Consider the following 17,657-nt stretch of genomic DNA (forward strand, 5'->3'; position numbering starts at 1 on the left):
TGTTTAACATTAAGCTGTTGATTAAAAGTAGAGGCACAAGACTTGGAAATGAAGAGACAAACATTTTCTTCTTTGAGGACAATATGACTGTCTCCACAGAAAATCGTATAGGATCTACAGGCAAACTATTAGAACAGCAAAAGAATTATGTAAGATTATTAGACAAAATCATTTTACAAATATCAATAGCATTTATATACTCCAGCATTGATCAATTTAAACATTTAATTTTAAGAAGCCTATTCTCCAAAGCAACAACAAAAACATAAACTACATACGAATCAGTGCAATAAAGGATGTGTAAGGATTTTCAAAGAGACAATAATTTATTTTTAAAAACCATTAAAGACTTGAATTAATGGAGAGATACAGAATTATCATGGATAGAAAGATAACATTCTTTCCCCAAATTAATCTATAGATTCAATGTAATTCTAATAAAAAACCTTAACCCGATTGTTTAATTCTACATAATCATTTAATCCTAAAGTTCACAGAAAGAGCAAGGGGTCAAGAACAGTCAAAACCATTTTGAAATACAGAGAAGGGTGGGCAGAGGAGACTTCCTTACCGGATGTCAAGAATTTAGGATAAATAACAGAGAGGGCATTATAATCAGCAGGGAAACGTTGGACCATTCAATAAACTGCTAAGACAACTGATTATCCATATGGAAAATAATGGACTTTATGCCATAAACAAAAGTAATTTCAAAGTGAATTAACAAGATAAATAGAAAGGCAAAATCATAAAATTTTTAGACAAAAATTTTTATGACAGTAGGTAAAGAATTTCTTAAGACACAAAAGCCACAATTCAGATACAATAAAACTTCTGCAAAACAACACACACAAAACACCATAAACAAAATTAAAAGATAAGCCTTAGACTGAGAAAAGATACTATCAGCCTATATATCTCTAAAATATATCTTATATATAAAATAATATGTACCTGGGATTAATTAAGAATGTTTGAAGATCAATGCAAAAAATTGCAAATAACCCCAAAAAGCAAGTGGGCAAAGGATTCAAACAGGCAACTCCCATCAGAGGAAAATGGATTATGAACTTGTAAAAATATGCTCAACCTCACCAGAATATAGAAAAATTAGAATTAAAGTCATGAGTTATCATTTCACATCCATCAACCCATCATGTGCAGTAGCCTATATCCCCAGCCGTTGGATAAAATGAACAGCAGGGAAACAGTTAGTTGGACTTAAGCCTTTTTTTTTTTTTTTTTTTTTTTTGAGACGAAATCTTGCTCTGTCGCCCAGGCTGGAGTGCAGTGGTGCAATCTCGGCTCACTGCAACCTATGCCTCCTGCGTTCAAGCGATTCTCGTGCCTCAGCCTCCCGAGTAGCTGGGATTGCAGGCATGCGCCACCACCCCCAGCTAATTTTGTACTTTTCATCACCATGTTAGTCAGGCTGCTCTCGAACTGCTGACCTCAAGCAATCCGCTCGACTCAGCTTCCCAAAGTGCTGGGACCACAGGCATGAGCCACTGCCCCCGGCCAAGCCTTCTTTTCAATATTCAACTCAAGAGAGTGGTCTACTATGTGAGAAGACCCCTACAGTGAGAGACTATGAGGACTACCACACCTGGGCAGGGCTTGACTGAGAGATAGAAGGTGGAACCAGTGAGAAAAACATGCATTGTTTCTGCTACAGTTAACAAATATTTGGTTATCCCTACTGGTACCAATTTTTAAATATATCCATTGCTTAGTTTTTCAGGTCCCTTTTAAATTTCTTACTTATACTTGCTTTTCTTCCAGATGAATCTAGAATCATTTTGTCAAATCCCAAAACAAAATTTCATTGTTATTCATTGGAAAAAACATATCTGCCAAGGCAGGATTGGGAGGGTATGGAAAAAATGTGAACTCCTATAAATGGCTGGTAGGAATATAATTTGGTATGCATGTTATGGAGATCAATTTGGAAGTATCTGGTGAAACTGAAGATTAAGAATATCCTGTTGGCCAGTGATTCAAGTTCTAGATACATATCTCAAGAAATGCTCACATGTACACAAGGAAATATGTCAATTATTTCATTGCAGCATTGTTTATAAGTCAAAAATTGGAAATAACTGAGATGCTCATCAAGAAGAAAATGGATACATTGTGATAAACTTATTCAATGAACTACAGCATTTAAATGAATGATTTAGAGAAAGATGGTAGTGTGGATACATCTCAAAAACATGAGTGGTAAAACAAGTCCCAGAAGGTTTTGTACAGAATGATACCATTTATATGAAGTTTCAAAATCAGAAAAACAATCCTAGGTATGCATACATATAATAAGGATATAAAACCACTCATGGTATCATTCTGATAAACATCAAATTCAGAGCTGCAATTACTTATGTGGGTAAAGGGAGACAAATGAAATGAGACAGGGCTATACAGATTTCAGGCACAACTGTGATCATTCCTTTCTAAAAGAAAAAATATATAGGTAAAAATAAGACTATAAAAGTTGGGTGATAGATACTTAGGTATTTGTTACATTGTTTTCTGCATTTTTCTGTATTCTTGAAATGTTTCATAATAAAAAAGGCACAATACGAATACTAGCAGTTTCGTTAATAAATGTTGGCTGACAATTAGGTGGATCAAGGTGACTTAACAAGGTGAATTAACTCATTAATACAACAATAGTTGAAGACAACTATTTTCAAGTGTAGGAAGACTACTGATTCTTCCAGTGCTTACATTTACTAATACATAATATAATATGTGCCAGGCATTATGGAAAGTGGTTTACATGCATTAACTTATTTATCTCCATAATCACTCTATGAAGATGACGCTAGCATCATTCTCATTTTATAGTTAGAGAACAGGCTAAGAGTGGAAAGGTAAAGAGTGAAAGGTCACATAGGTGGTAAGCGGCAGAACTGGGAGACAAGCAAGCCCATGTGTGTCTAAGTCCCAAACCTATGCACTTAATCACTATATTATGCTATGAAAGGTTTCAACTTTACTAAATGAATAAAGATGGAAAAAAACACACAGAGTTACTAGGAGTAGAATTGAGAAAAATGCAATTAACACAACTTAAGAATTTTTAAAGGATCAGGGTGTGAGGAGGACTAAGTAATTGGGTATACATAATTAAAAGAAAGACCCAAACCTATTCTGAGTCCTAACACACAATGAAAATATACGTGACTTGGTGTGACATAGAAACACAGGCTAATGCTGGCAGAAAGTCAGTATTCCACAAGACCAACCACAGATAAAGATACAGCCATCTGTTAAGAGGGCGTCCTGAAACTGTAGAGGGACTTCTAAGGCTTTTAATCAGTTTTCTTGGACACATTCTACCAGTCTTTCAAGGCCCACCCTTTCTGATTCATCCAAGCTATATACTAAGTTCTGCCTTGTCTAAACCTGACTCACTTGGCAGGCAATAAACGTGACTTTTTGTTGGTATTTCCTAGGACGGCGGTCCCCAAACTTTTTGGCACCAGGGACTAGTTTTGAGGAAGACAATTTTTTCATGGATGGGGGTCGGGGGGTGGGGATGGTTGTAGGATGAAACTGCTCTACCTCAGATCATCAGACATTAGATTCTCTTAAGGAGGGCACTACCTAGATCCCTCGCATGCGGGGTTCACAACGGGGTTCGCACTCCTATGAGAATCTAATGTTGTGGCTCATCTGACAGGAGGCAGAGCTCAGGCAGGAATGCTCGCTTACCTCCTGCTGTATGGCCTGGTTCCTCACAGACCAGGGACCAGGACCAGTCTGTGGCCCAGGTGGTTCCTCACAGACCAGGGACCAGTACCGGTCTGTGGCCCAGGGGTTGGGGACCCTTTTCTATAGGATCAAGTCATCAACTCTATGGTGTTTTACGAGAGAATATACTGTACCTCAGTTGTCTTAGTTGGCATTATTTGGTAGCAAGTAACAGCCTTCTGACTTAAGAAAAAACTAAGTTGGGGAGTCTCTCTGTAAGGTTTTAAGGCTATCTTGTGGAACCCCAGGAGGATGAAATGCAGATAGTGAAATGCAAGACACTGGAACAAACACTGCCAAGTTATCAGGAATCAAGAAAGCCATTTTCTTTTTCTTCTGGGGTTGAATGTCATCTTTGCTTTCTCTGCCTCCCATGTATGTTCCAGATGTGACCTCCCAAGACATCAGTTTTCCAATTCCAAATTCTCAGGAGAAATCATCTAATTGGCTCAACTTTGACCAGATGTCCACTCCTTGTCTGATTTCTGAACAGCTCCTCACGGAAGGTGGCAGAAAGTAATGCTCAGAGAAGGGATGTAAGTCGGACAGATATCCTAAAAGGTCACTAAGCCAATACTTCCTGTATTTCGTTGTTGTCGATTAATCGGAGGCTTAGACTTTTTTTTGTGGGGGAAGGATGGAGGGGAGAAATAACTGCATTTCTCTGATGGCCTTTCCTAATCTTAAAAACCACTTCAGTGCTAGACTTTATCTTTCAGTCGCAATGAACCTGAAGATTCTTCGGCTGGTTTTTAGAAATGTTCAAATAGGATAGACTCTTACACAGGGGTGTAATTTCCTCAAGAAAATACACATTTAGGTGCTTCAGTCTTTTCTTCTTATTCCATCCTTTTCTGATAGGGCAGTCACTTCAGACACTTCATCCACTATCACTTTAGGTTCCAACTGTTCTTTTCACATTTTTGCATTAGAAATAAGACTTCTTCTCATTTTGGAAAAATCAATGTATGAACCATAGTCAAACAATGAAAATTCTAAAACACTTCACTACAGAAAAATGGAATCTCCAGAGTTAAGGGGGGAGGAAGGCATTGGAAGGAGGTTACCATTTGAATCTCTACCGTTAAGTCAGGCACTATGCTGAATGCTTATATTTTAATACAACAATCCTATCAACAGGGAGTACTATTGTTAGCCTCTTCATGGATGATGAAAATGAGGTTTTAAGGTAAGAAAACTACCAATATCACACATCTAGTAAGTAGCTTAGCATAGATTCAGAAGCAAGAGTTAAAAGGTGAAAAATGGGGAAAAGGACTGAAGGAGATAGGCCTTCTCAGGATATCATTCTTAACATCAAAAACTGTATCTTAAACGTATTTAATACAATGAAGTGGCATGAATCATGTTACATGACAATATACATGACACCTTTTTAAAAAATATATTCATATCATGAAGACTTTATAACATCAAATAAAAGCCAACATGGGAAAAAAAAAAACCTTGTATACCCTTTAGACTCCAGATTTGGCCAAGCGTGGTGGCTCACGCCTATAATCCCAACACTTTGGGAGGCAGAGGTGGAAGGATCACTTGAGCCCAGGAATTCAAGACCAGCCTAGGCAATATAGTGAGACCCCATCTCTACAAAACAAATTAAAATTAACTGAGCATGGTGGTGTGCACCTGTGGTCCAAGCTACTTAAGAGGCCGAAGTGGGGAGGATTGCTTGAGACCAGTAAGTGGAGTCTGCAGTAAGCCATGATTGCACCACTGCACTGTGTGACAGAGACAGACCCTGTCAAATATAGGGAAAAAACAAACAATAAACCCTGGACTAGAATGAATTTTTCTGGGGAGAAGGTGTAGGATTCCAAAAAGACTAGGAATCACTGACAAAAAAAATTCTTCTCTTTTGCAATTTGGCAGCCCCTCTTAAAAATTTTTCCACTCTGTCCCTCACAAAGTCCCCCATCACCCAACATACCACACTGTACCTTTGCAAACGCCATTTCTGCTGAGTTTCCCAGACTTCATGCAGAATTCTCCCTCTTCTAGGTTTCTACAGTACTTTGTTTCTGCCACTAATATATATATTTACATTATACGCAAATCTGTCTGAACAAGGCAAGGGGCCAATGTTGTTTCTTCAACACTAAATAAAATTATGAGGTGATTTCACAAAAATATCAAATTTGTACCAAAGATATCAATTAATTTGTTTTGTGCTTATTGTCAGACAACAAAAGACTTAGTACTCATTCATGGCAGTCAGTTTTAAACATACTGTTTAGTGAAAAATAATTCTTTTACAACAAAAACGATTGTTACCAGCTTCATATAATTAAAACTGAAAACCAAATTGTGTAACAGGTAGCATAACATGTCAGTTTATATTATTTTAAAACCAAATGTTATTCCATAATCATTTATGCAACAACCCCAAATTTCAAACAATATTGAACACAATACAAATTTTTCATAAAACAAAACTTTTGGGTCTGAGTAGGCAGTACTGGAATTTAAACTACAATTAAGAGCCTAAGGGGATGCTTGCTCTATTTTAAGTGATTGTAACGCAGGAGTGTTTAACAGAACCACTTGAGCAGCTGTTTCAAAACACATATACACTCCATCTCCAGAGATGTTGATTTAGTAAGCTGAGGTGGCTACCAGGCCTATGGAATCTCTAAAATGCTCCCCAGCAATTTCTAATGAACAATACTGTTTAAGAACTATTTTCTATGAAATAGGCTTGACATGCTTTCAGCTTATATGTATGTGTATTTTTAAGTATCTTAAGCATTGCCACTATTTTGAAAGACCAAAGTTATTTACAGGGCATCTGACTTTCTGCGGTAGGTGTAGCTCCTTTAAAAGGTTATGTGCTTTTTGGTTGAGTCACTTTTCAGTAATTAAGCCTCAATCTATAGAAAATGAGATGCTCTTTAAGTGATACTTTCTTAAATTAAAATTTGAGGTATACAGATAATCGCGTCCACTAAATGTTACAACAGGAATTATTTGTACATAAATATATTCAATATGCACTAACTCTAGCCTTTACAAAAATAAAGCAATTGACAAAACACCTATTAGAGTATACCTACCCTGAGAATTATACACAATACTAATAGGTTTTATAACCAGAAAAAGTTGACATCAGAGCAAATCTTCAAATGTTGTTTCCAGAGTATATTCAACATTTTAAAATATAAAAATAGAAATATTTAAAATTATCTACACTGAGGTTACATAACTTTGGTAAAAGTTCCAAAGTTCACTAATATATTCCTAGGGGGCACTAAAAAAATCTACAACTTTATTTAAATAATTTTCAAGACTACTTACTTTCTTCATTGCATTCATTCTCCACGAATTCATAAAATATGCATGGACACCTATCGATTCAAAGTACACCATAAACTTACTGTAAAAATCCAGTATTACTTAAAACATCTCTACTATCATTCAAATGGTTTAATCTGACTTAATGGGCAGTTTGCTCAAGTGAACCACCTGCTGCTCACTTAATTCTCTTCACATTAATCTTAATTTAAAAATTCTAAAAATTACCTAAAGGATTTTAAGATTCAAAATCTAATCCCTGTAACTTCAAAATAATTGTAAATTCTAGTGGTTCCTTTATATTATTCCAAGTAGAACTTCCTATTTTACATCACAGGCTTAAGTCTCACATTTAGAAAAACTGTCCATGTTTATGCGTGTCTAGAGTTCTCCAATGCAATCAGGTATTACAGACAGAGTCAGACTGGGCCTGGAAAACAGAAAATGGACATCTTTACCCCCACTGTATACATGTGTTAAGAAACTTGATTTTTACTTTAAAACATCTACAATACACAATCACATTAATACTCTTTCCTCCTACTCTGCCTTTATAATGATGAAACACATGCAAATTCAAAGGCAACTTTTTCAAGTAACTCCTGCCATGGTTACCAACGCTTGTCTTATCATTTTCAGGAGTCTTAATGTAAATTCAGGTTTTCGATAAATCAAAATATTCTGCATTGCTTTAAAACGGAAAACAAAAAAATTGCAAAATGGTACTGATAAAACTGATATGAATCAATGTGGGCTAAGGGCTAAGACTTTTTTTCAAAAATTTTATTTAATAAGCTCATTCTTATTTACTCTAGGTAAAAAATTAGTAAATGACCAGTGTCTCTATATATCTCTTCTTCAAATAAATGCCTGTTTACAATTCAGTGTCTAAAATCAAGAATCTAAAAATAAAAAGCCAAGTTGAAGAAAAATAAACCACCAATTCTTACCCCATACCACTGCAATATTTTTTATGCATAGGAATACAACAAACTCAAAAGAAAAAAAAATAGTGTTTTATTAACTACCACACTGTTATAATACACTTTAAACGTACAATAAGGTAGCCTTTAAATTTGAGGTGGTCTTAAGAATAACAAATGAACAGAATTCCAAATTTTTGAAATAGGTGAACTGCTGCAGTTACAGGTATACATTTAGGAAAACTGTATAGCTCTTACAAGACCAGCAATGTAACTTTATTTTGTACATTTTTGAATTGAAAATATAAACAATAATTAAAAAATAAAAAGAAAATACAGCATAATAAAAAACATACGCTTCTCAATTAAATGTACTGGATACATATAAATTTTAAGGGAAGAAGCAAAAAAGGAAAATGATTGATATTTAAGTGCAGACTGACTACCTAGACAAAAAAAAAAAAGACTTAAAAAAATATCATAAAACCTCTAGTTCTTCTATGACTAATATCCATATGGTTGGAGTATCGTCACTATGGAAGTGATTTTGTTATGTTTGCATATGTTACACTTTACTGGTAATTTACATGATGGCTTTTAAGGCCCTGGGAGACATGGTTTTTGGAAACAAGATTGGATAAAAATCACTGCTAAGACGCAATACACCTTATTTTTTTGGTCCTCCAATAGTCAAGAAAAGGGATAATTCACTATAACATTCTCTTACCACCCAAATGCCTCAACTTATACATTTTAAACTTTTTTAAACATTGGTTATATTGCCCAACTTCGTTATTGAAAGAATATTAACAAGACATTATTTTGGCAAATTAAATCTTAAACATGGCTTTTCAACAGGATTTAAAAGGTGACTATCCCTAGAGTTCCATGTTAAAATGTAGTTTTCAAAATCTTACAAGAGTAATGCTTAAAATATTGTACATAGTTAACCTAATTAAAATAATTAGCTTCAAAATGACAAATTGATAAGCTAAGTAAAGCCTACACTATGTAACATTTGCTTGGAAACTTGATTTGTCAGTTATGCATAATAAAAATTCCAGTCATCAAGAAAATTACAAAATTTTTTATCATAACATGATTTCTTTCACCCACCAGCTTTTTTATCTTACAATAGATAAATACCAACATGTTCTCATTTTTACACTAAACCACACAGGATTGATGCATTTGGTTAGACTACCATTCGCATTGTTAAATTCAATTTTCTCTTTATATAACTTGGTAAAATTTCATTTCTTCTAGATTCCAAAAGTACCTACAAAACCCATGCAATTTTACCATTTTTAATATACTATGGAATATCATACAAAGTAAGGCATTTCAGTGTCATGTATAACCAAGTTACTGTCAATCCAAAAATTTTTGCACATCAATAAAAAGATATCTAAGAACTTAGGAACAATATTCTTCTCACTACTGTATAAAAATAACCACAATGAATAAGTATTTGTGTAATATTTACTCCATTGTCTCATTTCCAGAAACTGTGACAAGCTGTAAAGGTATTTCAGTGTTGGTAAGGATATCTTGATTGCTGGTGGCGGAAGTATTAACAGTTCCTATCCCTGAAACAGAACCTTGTTGAATATTTGCAAGGATAAGCGTTGTTCCTCCTGCAGTAATCAAAGTATCATCTCGCGCAGCTTCCACAGATGCCAGCACTGTACTGCTAGAGTGAATACCTTTTTTATTCTGGTGTGTTTTAATATGTTTGGCAAGGTGGTCACTTCTCATAAAGCGTTTTGAACATTCTGGACAAACAAATTTCTTCTCACCTGTTAAGAAAAAAATTAAGTTACTTGGTTTTAAAAATTCAACTTTAATAGCTCAATCATCTCCCCCAAAACAGAAAGTAAGTCAACGCTGACAGGTGAGGATGGGAGCAGGGGTCTATTAAAATTGTATTCATTTTACGAGCTACCCCTGCCAGATTTCTCTTACAGAATATTTCTCCTTAAATCTTTCATCTTTACTTTTTGATGACTAGCAGTCTTCAAACATGTATTATATAATAGATGGATATTCAAATAAGACTTTAATATCTCAACTACGCTAAGAGTTTGTTTGAAATACCTGTGTTAAGATGCCAGCTAAAAAATAAGCATCTATAACACACTTTAAAGTCTAAATAAAAGTATATTCTTTCACGCTATAATTAAAATACTAACATGCCATGTTCATGATACTAAACCTTCAACTCTTAAATATGAATTAAAGCAACAGGGTACTTCTAGATTAAAGAAATGACACCACAAGCTTGAGATCCAAAAAGAATGAGTAATCCTTAGAAAAATGAATCTGGCTAGCTGACTTGACTTCAGCTACAACAATCAAGAACAAGCCTAATATGTTAAGATGTTAAAGCTGTTAAAATCCTGATGCCTAAATTTATTTCCCAGCATGAATAAAGTAAGTTTAAATACAAAAGACAGACTGAACTTCTATTATGTTGAAGACCGACTCTGCAAGATTACCAAAAGAGAAGACAAAAGGCCAACCTAAAAGGAATTCAGAGAGAAATCAATAAAAATCAATCAATAAATCTAGTAAATATTTTCTTAATTCCTTTCTTCAAAAATGTCTTAGCTTGTATCCTTTGTTCTAGCACCTCTACTCTACATAGGTCTTTATCAGACCTCATGCTTGAACTATACTGCAGTCACATCCTAGTCTCTCTCTCTCTCCAGACTATCTTCCTTAAAGACCAAATTTTATTACATCAGAAAACTTCAAGATTATATTAAGTGATATGGAAATGCAAGGGTAACTTGCAGATGACGTAACAGTTTAGATGCTCCACTGCCTAATTTACAAGGACCTTTAAAGTGTGCCTCAATCCTACTTAACAGAAATGTTATGTAAAATCTCATCCTCATTCACCGCTACAAAAAAAGGTCTCTCACTTCTTCTATTAACATACCACCATTTTTCTACTAAAGTATTTCCCAGTTTCTCTTGTAACATTAGTCCTGAGAGGTACTCCATGGCAAACGGCACAAGGTTAGGAAATGCTACACACACATTACATCACTAACTTATAGATGCAAGCTGTCAATCTAGCATTTAATTTAAAGGTCCTAAGAGGTACTGCCTTGAAGGTACTTATACCCTCTTTGGCCCACTATTTCCTACACTTATTTGATCATTGACCTTTTTCTCCCTTTTACATTATTCCTTTTTACAACCTGCTGATAAAATCCTACTGAGGAAAATTCTGTTAACAGGGCCATCATAAGATCTATTATCCCATACTTTACTATCCCAAGCAGTAATTATCTCTGTTTCTGAGCCTTTTCAACAGCAGACTGCAACGCAAAATCTTTTATCTACCTTTTTTTTTTTTTTTTTTTTTTTGAGACAGGATCTCACTTTGTCACCCAGGCTGCAGTACAGTGGCATGACCTTGGCTCACTGCAACCGCCGCCCCATGGGCTCAAGCAATCCTCCCACCTCAGCCTCCTGAGCAGCTGGGACTACAGGTACACACCATCCGCCCGGCTATTCTTTGTCTTTCTAGGAGAGACACGGTTTCACCATGTTGCCCAGGCTGGTCTCAAACTCCTGAGGCTCAAGCAATCTGCCTTCCTTGGCCTCCCAAAGTGCCGGGATTACAGGCATGGGCCAGCACGCCCTGCAGCCTTATCTACTTTCTTAATTGTCTGTTGCAGTTTCATGTAGGTTAATCTCATCTGTCTACCTACCCAATGAGAGACAGGAACTAAAACTATTAGAGCATCTGTATACTACTACAGACTTCATAGGTAATTTTATACAATACTGAAGGCCAAAGTAGGATATGTGAAGCAACGTCAGAGATAGTTTATTCGCTTAACCTAATAGGGAACTTGGATTGGAATCCAGATGACTTCAAAATCCATGTTGTTCTCCATTTTACCATGCTTCTTCCAAGCTCTCTAGGGATTGTAAATACATAGTTTTCAATTCTCCAGTGTTGAGCATAGACTGATGAACACTTTAATCATTTACATGGTAGTAGGAAAAAACTATCTCTAAGTTAACACTGTTAGGTTTCAGTGTAGATCAGTCACAGGTCCATTTCATTTAACAACCACACAACACTATGTAAAAATAATATAATCAGAGAAAGTCTTCACATCAACATTGCCTTGGTTATTCCTCAGTGAAATACCTTTCCCTTACCTCAGAGATACTAAAAACAAAAGAAAAGGTGAAATGCCCAAATATGTCAGAAGAAACAGGAGTATTTTTTGTTACAGTGTTAAGAGGAAAGAAAAAAAATAGGATAGATCAAGAGTAAAAGCTGACAACTAATTAAAAATGTTAACAGAATAAAAATAGTATAAATGTGGTTTAAAGCATTCAATAATGTCAACAAAAGCCACCCAAAGTCTACTTAAATATAACTTTATTTTAGAAGATAAGCCAGACTGACTTGTTCTTTGGAATTTGTGTTATTAAGATGGTGTTACTAAAGGTAAAAATTGGATGTAATTCATTGTATTTTAAATCGATTCAGTTCAGTAAGGAATGCTAATAAAAAAGAAGTCAAGGCAGTTATGTAGCCCTATAATTCATTTTTGTCTGTTAAAAGTAAGTATTAGTAACCTGTATGTGTTCTTCTGTGCCTCTGTAATTCATCACTTCGAGTAAATCTTTTACCACAGTACATCCAGTTACAAACAAAAGGGCGTTCTCCAGAATGCCAACGCAGATGAGCTCTCAGATGTGAGGTCTTCCCATAGACTTTACCACATCCTGGTATATGACAAATGTGTTGCTTCTTTTTCCCAAGATTGGTACCTCTAAAAAACACACATAGAATAATATATACTTATATGAAAATATTCAAATGGACATTACCATTTACATCATATATCCCCATGTTGAATTTTAAATAGAAGACATTATCATTACAAAGTCAATCAGAAACCAAAACCATTTAAAATCAGTTTAAATGAAAATTTATGTATTTCAAGCATATACATTTTATATATTAACCTTACTCCAGAATTAATGTGATTGTTGTCCAAATGTAAATATGCTCAAGAATTATGTAATTAAAAGGACATTTCATATGTAAAGAATGTACAATAAAGCTATTTATTCTTCTATCAGAACCATTCACAAATTCTACGCATAAGCCTGATCCACTTAATTATATAGGAAACTAAATGTGGTCTGTATTCAAAAGTCGTCAGATAATCAAAAATATATTTAAACCAAAGAATGAATACGTAACTGATCACAGGTACAATTAAAAGATATAGGCAGCTTTAGCAGACTTTAATATGATTTAAGAATATTTGTTCATATTTGTGTGGCCACACTCTGAATATACACTGACTTGGAGAAAGCTTTTTTTTAAATCTAGTTAAAGCAATGGTCTGAACTCCCTTAGCATTAGATGAGATAAATACAAATCAAAATTATCTTTACATTTAAAATTCCCTTCATATTAACCATGTAAAAGATACCCAAAATTAGACACAAGAGATATAATAAAATACAGTTTTCTCCACATCACAAAATTGGACATTTATTACATTTCAGTATTTGATACCAAGAGCAGGGTTTAGAAGATATGAGATTAGATGGGTGAACAGAGGTATCTTAGCCTAAGCAAGAAGAAAACTTTTTTGATCCCAGAATTGATCATTTGAATAGTATTAAACACTACAGAAAATGTTATTTCTCAACCTTTTAAAATAAAAAAAAAAATTAGGCTTGTTACTGAATAAAAATAAATTAGTTTTTAAAAAACATGACACTTTGGACAAAACAATTTGTATAAACTTTACAATGTTTCTGAGTTTTTTTAAAAAAGTACATTTAGCCCCCTCCCCAACTCCCCTCCTCCCCCAATCTCACAGTTTAGGCATATCCTGTAAAACTTTCTATAGCCTGTAAATCCTCCTGTATACAATACACCTATCGTTTTTCAAATTTACTGGAAAAATGCATATTTCCCCACATTTATATTTTAATGTACTCACACTCAGTAGCATGTGAAATTGCCATAGGACAAACAGTGCTAAACGGTGCAGTGCTGGCTGTTAGATGCCATAGGTGTTCTGAACAGGGAGACATCAATGTGGGCTCCAGTAGTTAGAGAAGGCTTCGTGGAGGAGGTGGGTAGGATTTAGATAGAAAGGAGGGAAGGCATTCCAGGCAGAGGAATAGCATAAGTAAAGACAAGGAGGAGTCATGCTGTTGTCTCAAGGGCAAGGATGTCATAATCTAACACAATTCTAGTTTCTGCTCCAGTCCACCCCCAATTTCTACAACTCTTCAAAGAGCTGAGTTAAGTGAAACAGGTTTTTCTGGCTCCCTTGCAATGCCAAAGTCTTACTAACCAAAGCCAATATTGATTCCATTTAATTTAGATTTTTAAATTTATTTTATTATTTAAAAATCCCTAAGAAAAACAGCAATGTTTGTGGCTACTGGTGTACAAACCAATTTTACATATCGTGTTCACCATAGCAATTTCACAGAGAACCCAATTCAGTTCACTCGTGTACTCATTATTTCATGCCTCTCCTCTAAGCCTACCACTCAGGTCAATAATCAACGCGCTTTTACAAACTCAAAAGTGCATTTCACAAACTTAGCAAAATTTAGCATGGGAACACTAACAAAGCACAAGACTAACAAATTAACAGCAACAGATCTGGGTTCTCAAAGAAGCAAGAAGCTAGGGAAGGTATTTTTAACTGAATTATTAGGAAATAAGAAATATTATTTGAAAATGGGACAGGCATCTAGGAAAGAAAAAACATAGGGGCGGGGTTGCACACATATTTAAGGAAAAAGCTCAACATCCAGGCCCAAAATTCTATTTAAAAAGAAAATTTCATTCAAAGTAAGATATAGATATGGTAGATGTGGATTTACGGCATGTCATACCAAGGCTTGAAGGGAGAGAACTGAAGTGAATTTCTCAACAAAGTTCAGGAATAAAAGATTTAAAGTTTTCTTCTTGATTAATATCCACACCACTAATGCCTATAATATAGGAAAAACTAATAATTTTACGTTTTTATTCTTGAGTGTCTAAACTTGTTCCCAATAATTTAATAATGCTAAGATAGAGTGGAAGCTAAACTGTGGGTAGAGGAGTTAAGAAAAGTTAAGTAAATACACTCTCTTCTGCTCAGGGTGGGAAAAACAGGACATAAACTGAAATGCTGACAAAGAAAACAGATTGTGCACAATTTTAAAAATATGGACTGATGTTTAATCCATACAAAACCTATATAACAATCATGCCTCTAGAATGTATTTTACTTACAATTATTTGTCTCTCACTAGGTTATCTCTCACTAGTTTAAACAGTCTCTGAAAGCTGGTTCTGCTCAATAAATATTTGCTAAATAATTACAACTTTTAAATATTTTATATTTTACACCTTACTTTAAAAGGTAAACAAATAAAATTTACTTCTCTAAAGATGAATAAAATCAGTTCTCTAAAAATGCCATCTTGCCCATATTCTTTAAAAAAATAATGGTTGCAAAAAAAGACAAATATTCTAAAAAACTTTTTTAATTACTATCTGTATCAACTTGCAGAATACTTTAGAATAGTTTGGATTTACTACCTATGTTATGCTTCTATCAATTAGGTACAATTGTCATTTATACAAGTGTGTCTATCACACATATACTGCTTGAATTTTGTTCAAACAAGCTCTAAGAAACAATATAGTTTCTTTTCTTAGGAATCTCAATTTTTATTGCTTAGAATAAGTGAGCTATTAAAGAATGAAGTCACAAAAGTTCTAGAAAAAATATAAATGAACATTTTTATAATTCTCAGAATACGGAAAACTTGTAATAGCATGGTAACAAGGCATCTAATAAAGGAAAGGCTGACCAACTTTAATTTTTTGTGCTTAAAATGTTTGCAAGGTGTAAGTGATGGAACTGTTTCTTTACTTGTGTAATAACAATGCATTCTACAAACCACTGACAAAGGCAATGTAAAACTGGGAAAAAACATTTGCACGTGACAGAGTTACATAAATTAACAGATTTACAAAAAAAAAGAAACAATTCAAAAAATAAATTTTAAAATGGCAAAATAACATCCCCAAAAATGTTCAACCTCACCAAGTAATTTAAAAATATACTAAGACAATATTAAGGTATTTTTCATCTGTCAGACTTTCAAAGGTTAAAAATAATTGTAAAATTCATTGTTGGCAAAGGTGTGGGAAACTAGATACTCTCACACACTGCTGGTTAGAGTATAAACTAGCCTTTCTAGCAGACAATTCCCTTTAACCCAGCAATTTCACTTCTGCCAACTTATACAAATAAAATAATCAGACAAATGTGCAAAGACATACGTGTAAGATTATGACAATAAATTCCCAACAAAAGATGTTAAATCACCCTACATCCATACAATAGAATACAACAGAATACTATACAGCCATAAAAATGATTCAGACTATATAGACTTGAAAATATGGTCACAAAAATTCTCAAAACAAGAACAGACATATAAAACAGTGAGAATAAGATGATTCTACTTTAAAATACATGTAACATCTTAAAGGACAAACACAAACACATTACTAGCTTAACTTGAAGAGGGGTGAGATTTTGGTGTTTTTAAATGTCCTATGTGTCTACATTTTTATGAGCATGTTTTAGTTTAATAAACATAAACTAATTAAAACATTTTCATTTTAAAATAAAGAATAAGTGAAACAAAGGCCAGGCCTCCGTTAGATTTGACTTTTGTGAATAATTTATCTTAAAAGCCCCTCTAAAATGAGTTTCAGAAAAGTTACTGCCTAGTTAGAATTCACAATTTTAATTGACCAAAATATGTCAAAAAACAAAACTTTAAACTAATTACAATAAACATGAATACCTAAGGATCAGATGTAGAAGGAGAGTCACTTGGGAGGCAGTATAGTTTAATGGTTAAGGCTCTGGAGTAAAACTAGGTCCAAATCCCTGTTGTGTGTGCTCTTAGGAGTCACTCAACCTCTCTATGTCTCACTTCTAACACCACTGGGAATACGGTAAACTCTCAATGTTACCAGTTGTTAGCAATTATTATTACTGGAAAGGGCTGGCCAATGTGCAACTCAAAGGCAGATAGAAAAGCTCTATTAGATCAAGTTTGTTAACTCTATTAAAAGTACATTTTATCTACTTAAACAGTGCATTTCTAAGAAAGGTATGTTAATTTTCACCATGACAAGGGATTTGGTTAAGTATGGCTTTAGAGTTCTATCCGTTTTTGCTCTATATATTTCAAAGCTGCACAAAAAAGGGACCGTGACTATTAAATCTTCTTGGTGGAAATTTAATATTATTAACAAGAAATACATCTCTGTCTTATTTGGGGCTTTCACCTCAATTCCGTCTCGTGTGATATATTAACACTGCTATCCAAGTTTTCTTTTTGTTAATACTTGCCTGATAAATCTTTTTCCATCCCTCATCTTCAATATTCCTGTGCCAATTATTTCAGGTGTTCTTTATAATTAACATCAGTCTGGATCTTGTTTTTTTTTTTAAAAAAAATATGATCTGAGTCTCAATCTCTTCATTATTAAGCTTAGTACATCCATATTTAACATAATTTCTGATCATTTTGAGTTTACTCCAGTCATGTTATTCTGTCTTAATGTTTACCTTT

At 34.2% G+C, this 17,657-nt stretch overlaps 1 protein-coding gene across 3 annotated transcripts in view; it reads right to left on the bottom strand.

Annotated features, from left to right (window-relative positions):
• Positions 308 to 17,657, bottom strand: part of SP3 (Sp3 transcription factor) — a 64,928-nt gene continuing 47,578 nt past the window's right edge. For 2 of the 3 annotated variants that reach the window (NM_003111.5, NM_001017371.5), the window contains 2 exons: positions 12,603 to 12,799; positions 308 to 9,790 (listed from right to left, as the gene is read on the bottom strand). In NM_003111.5, the coding sequence (NP_003102.1) occupies positions 9,474 to 9,790; positions 12,603 to 12,799 (514 nt within the window). In that variant the 3' untranslated portion in view covers positions 308 to 9,473. The remainder of the gene's footprint in view (positions 9,791 to 12,602; positions 12,800 to 17,657) is intronic. The other variant, NM_001172712.1, reaches the window with a different exon arrangement.

Source organism: Homo sapiens, chromosome 2, assembly GCF_000001405.40.
Source record: "Homo sapiens chromosome 2, GRCh38.p14 Primary Assembly".
In the NCBI taxonomy this organism is placed as follows: Eukaryota; Metazoa; Chordata; class Mammalia; order Primates; family Hominidae; genus Homo; species Homo sapiens.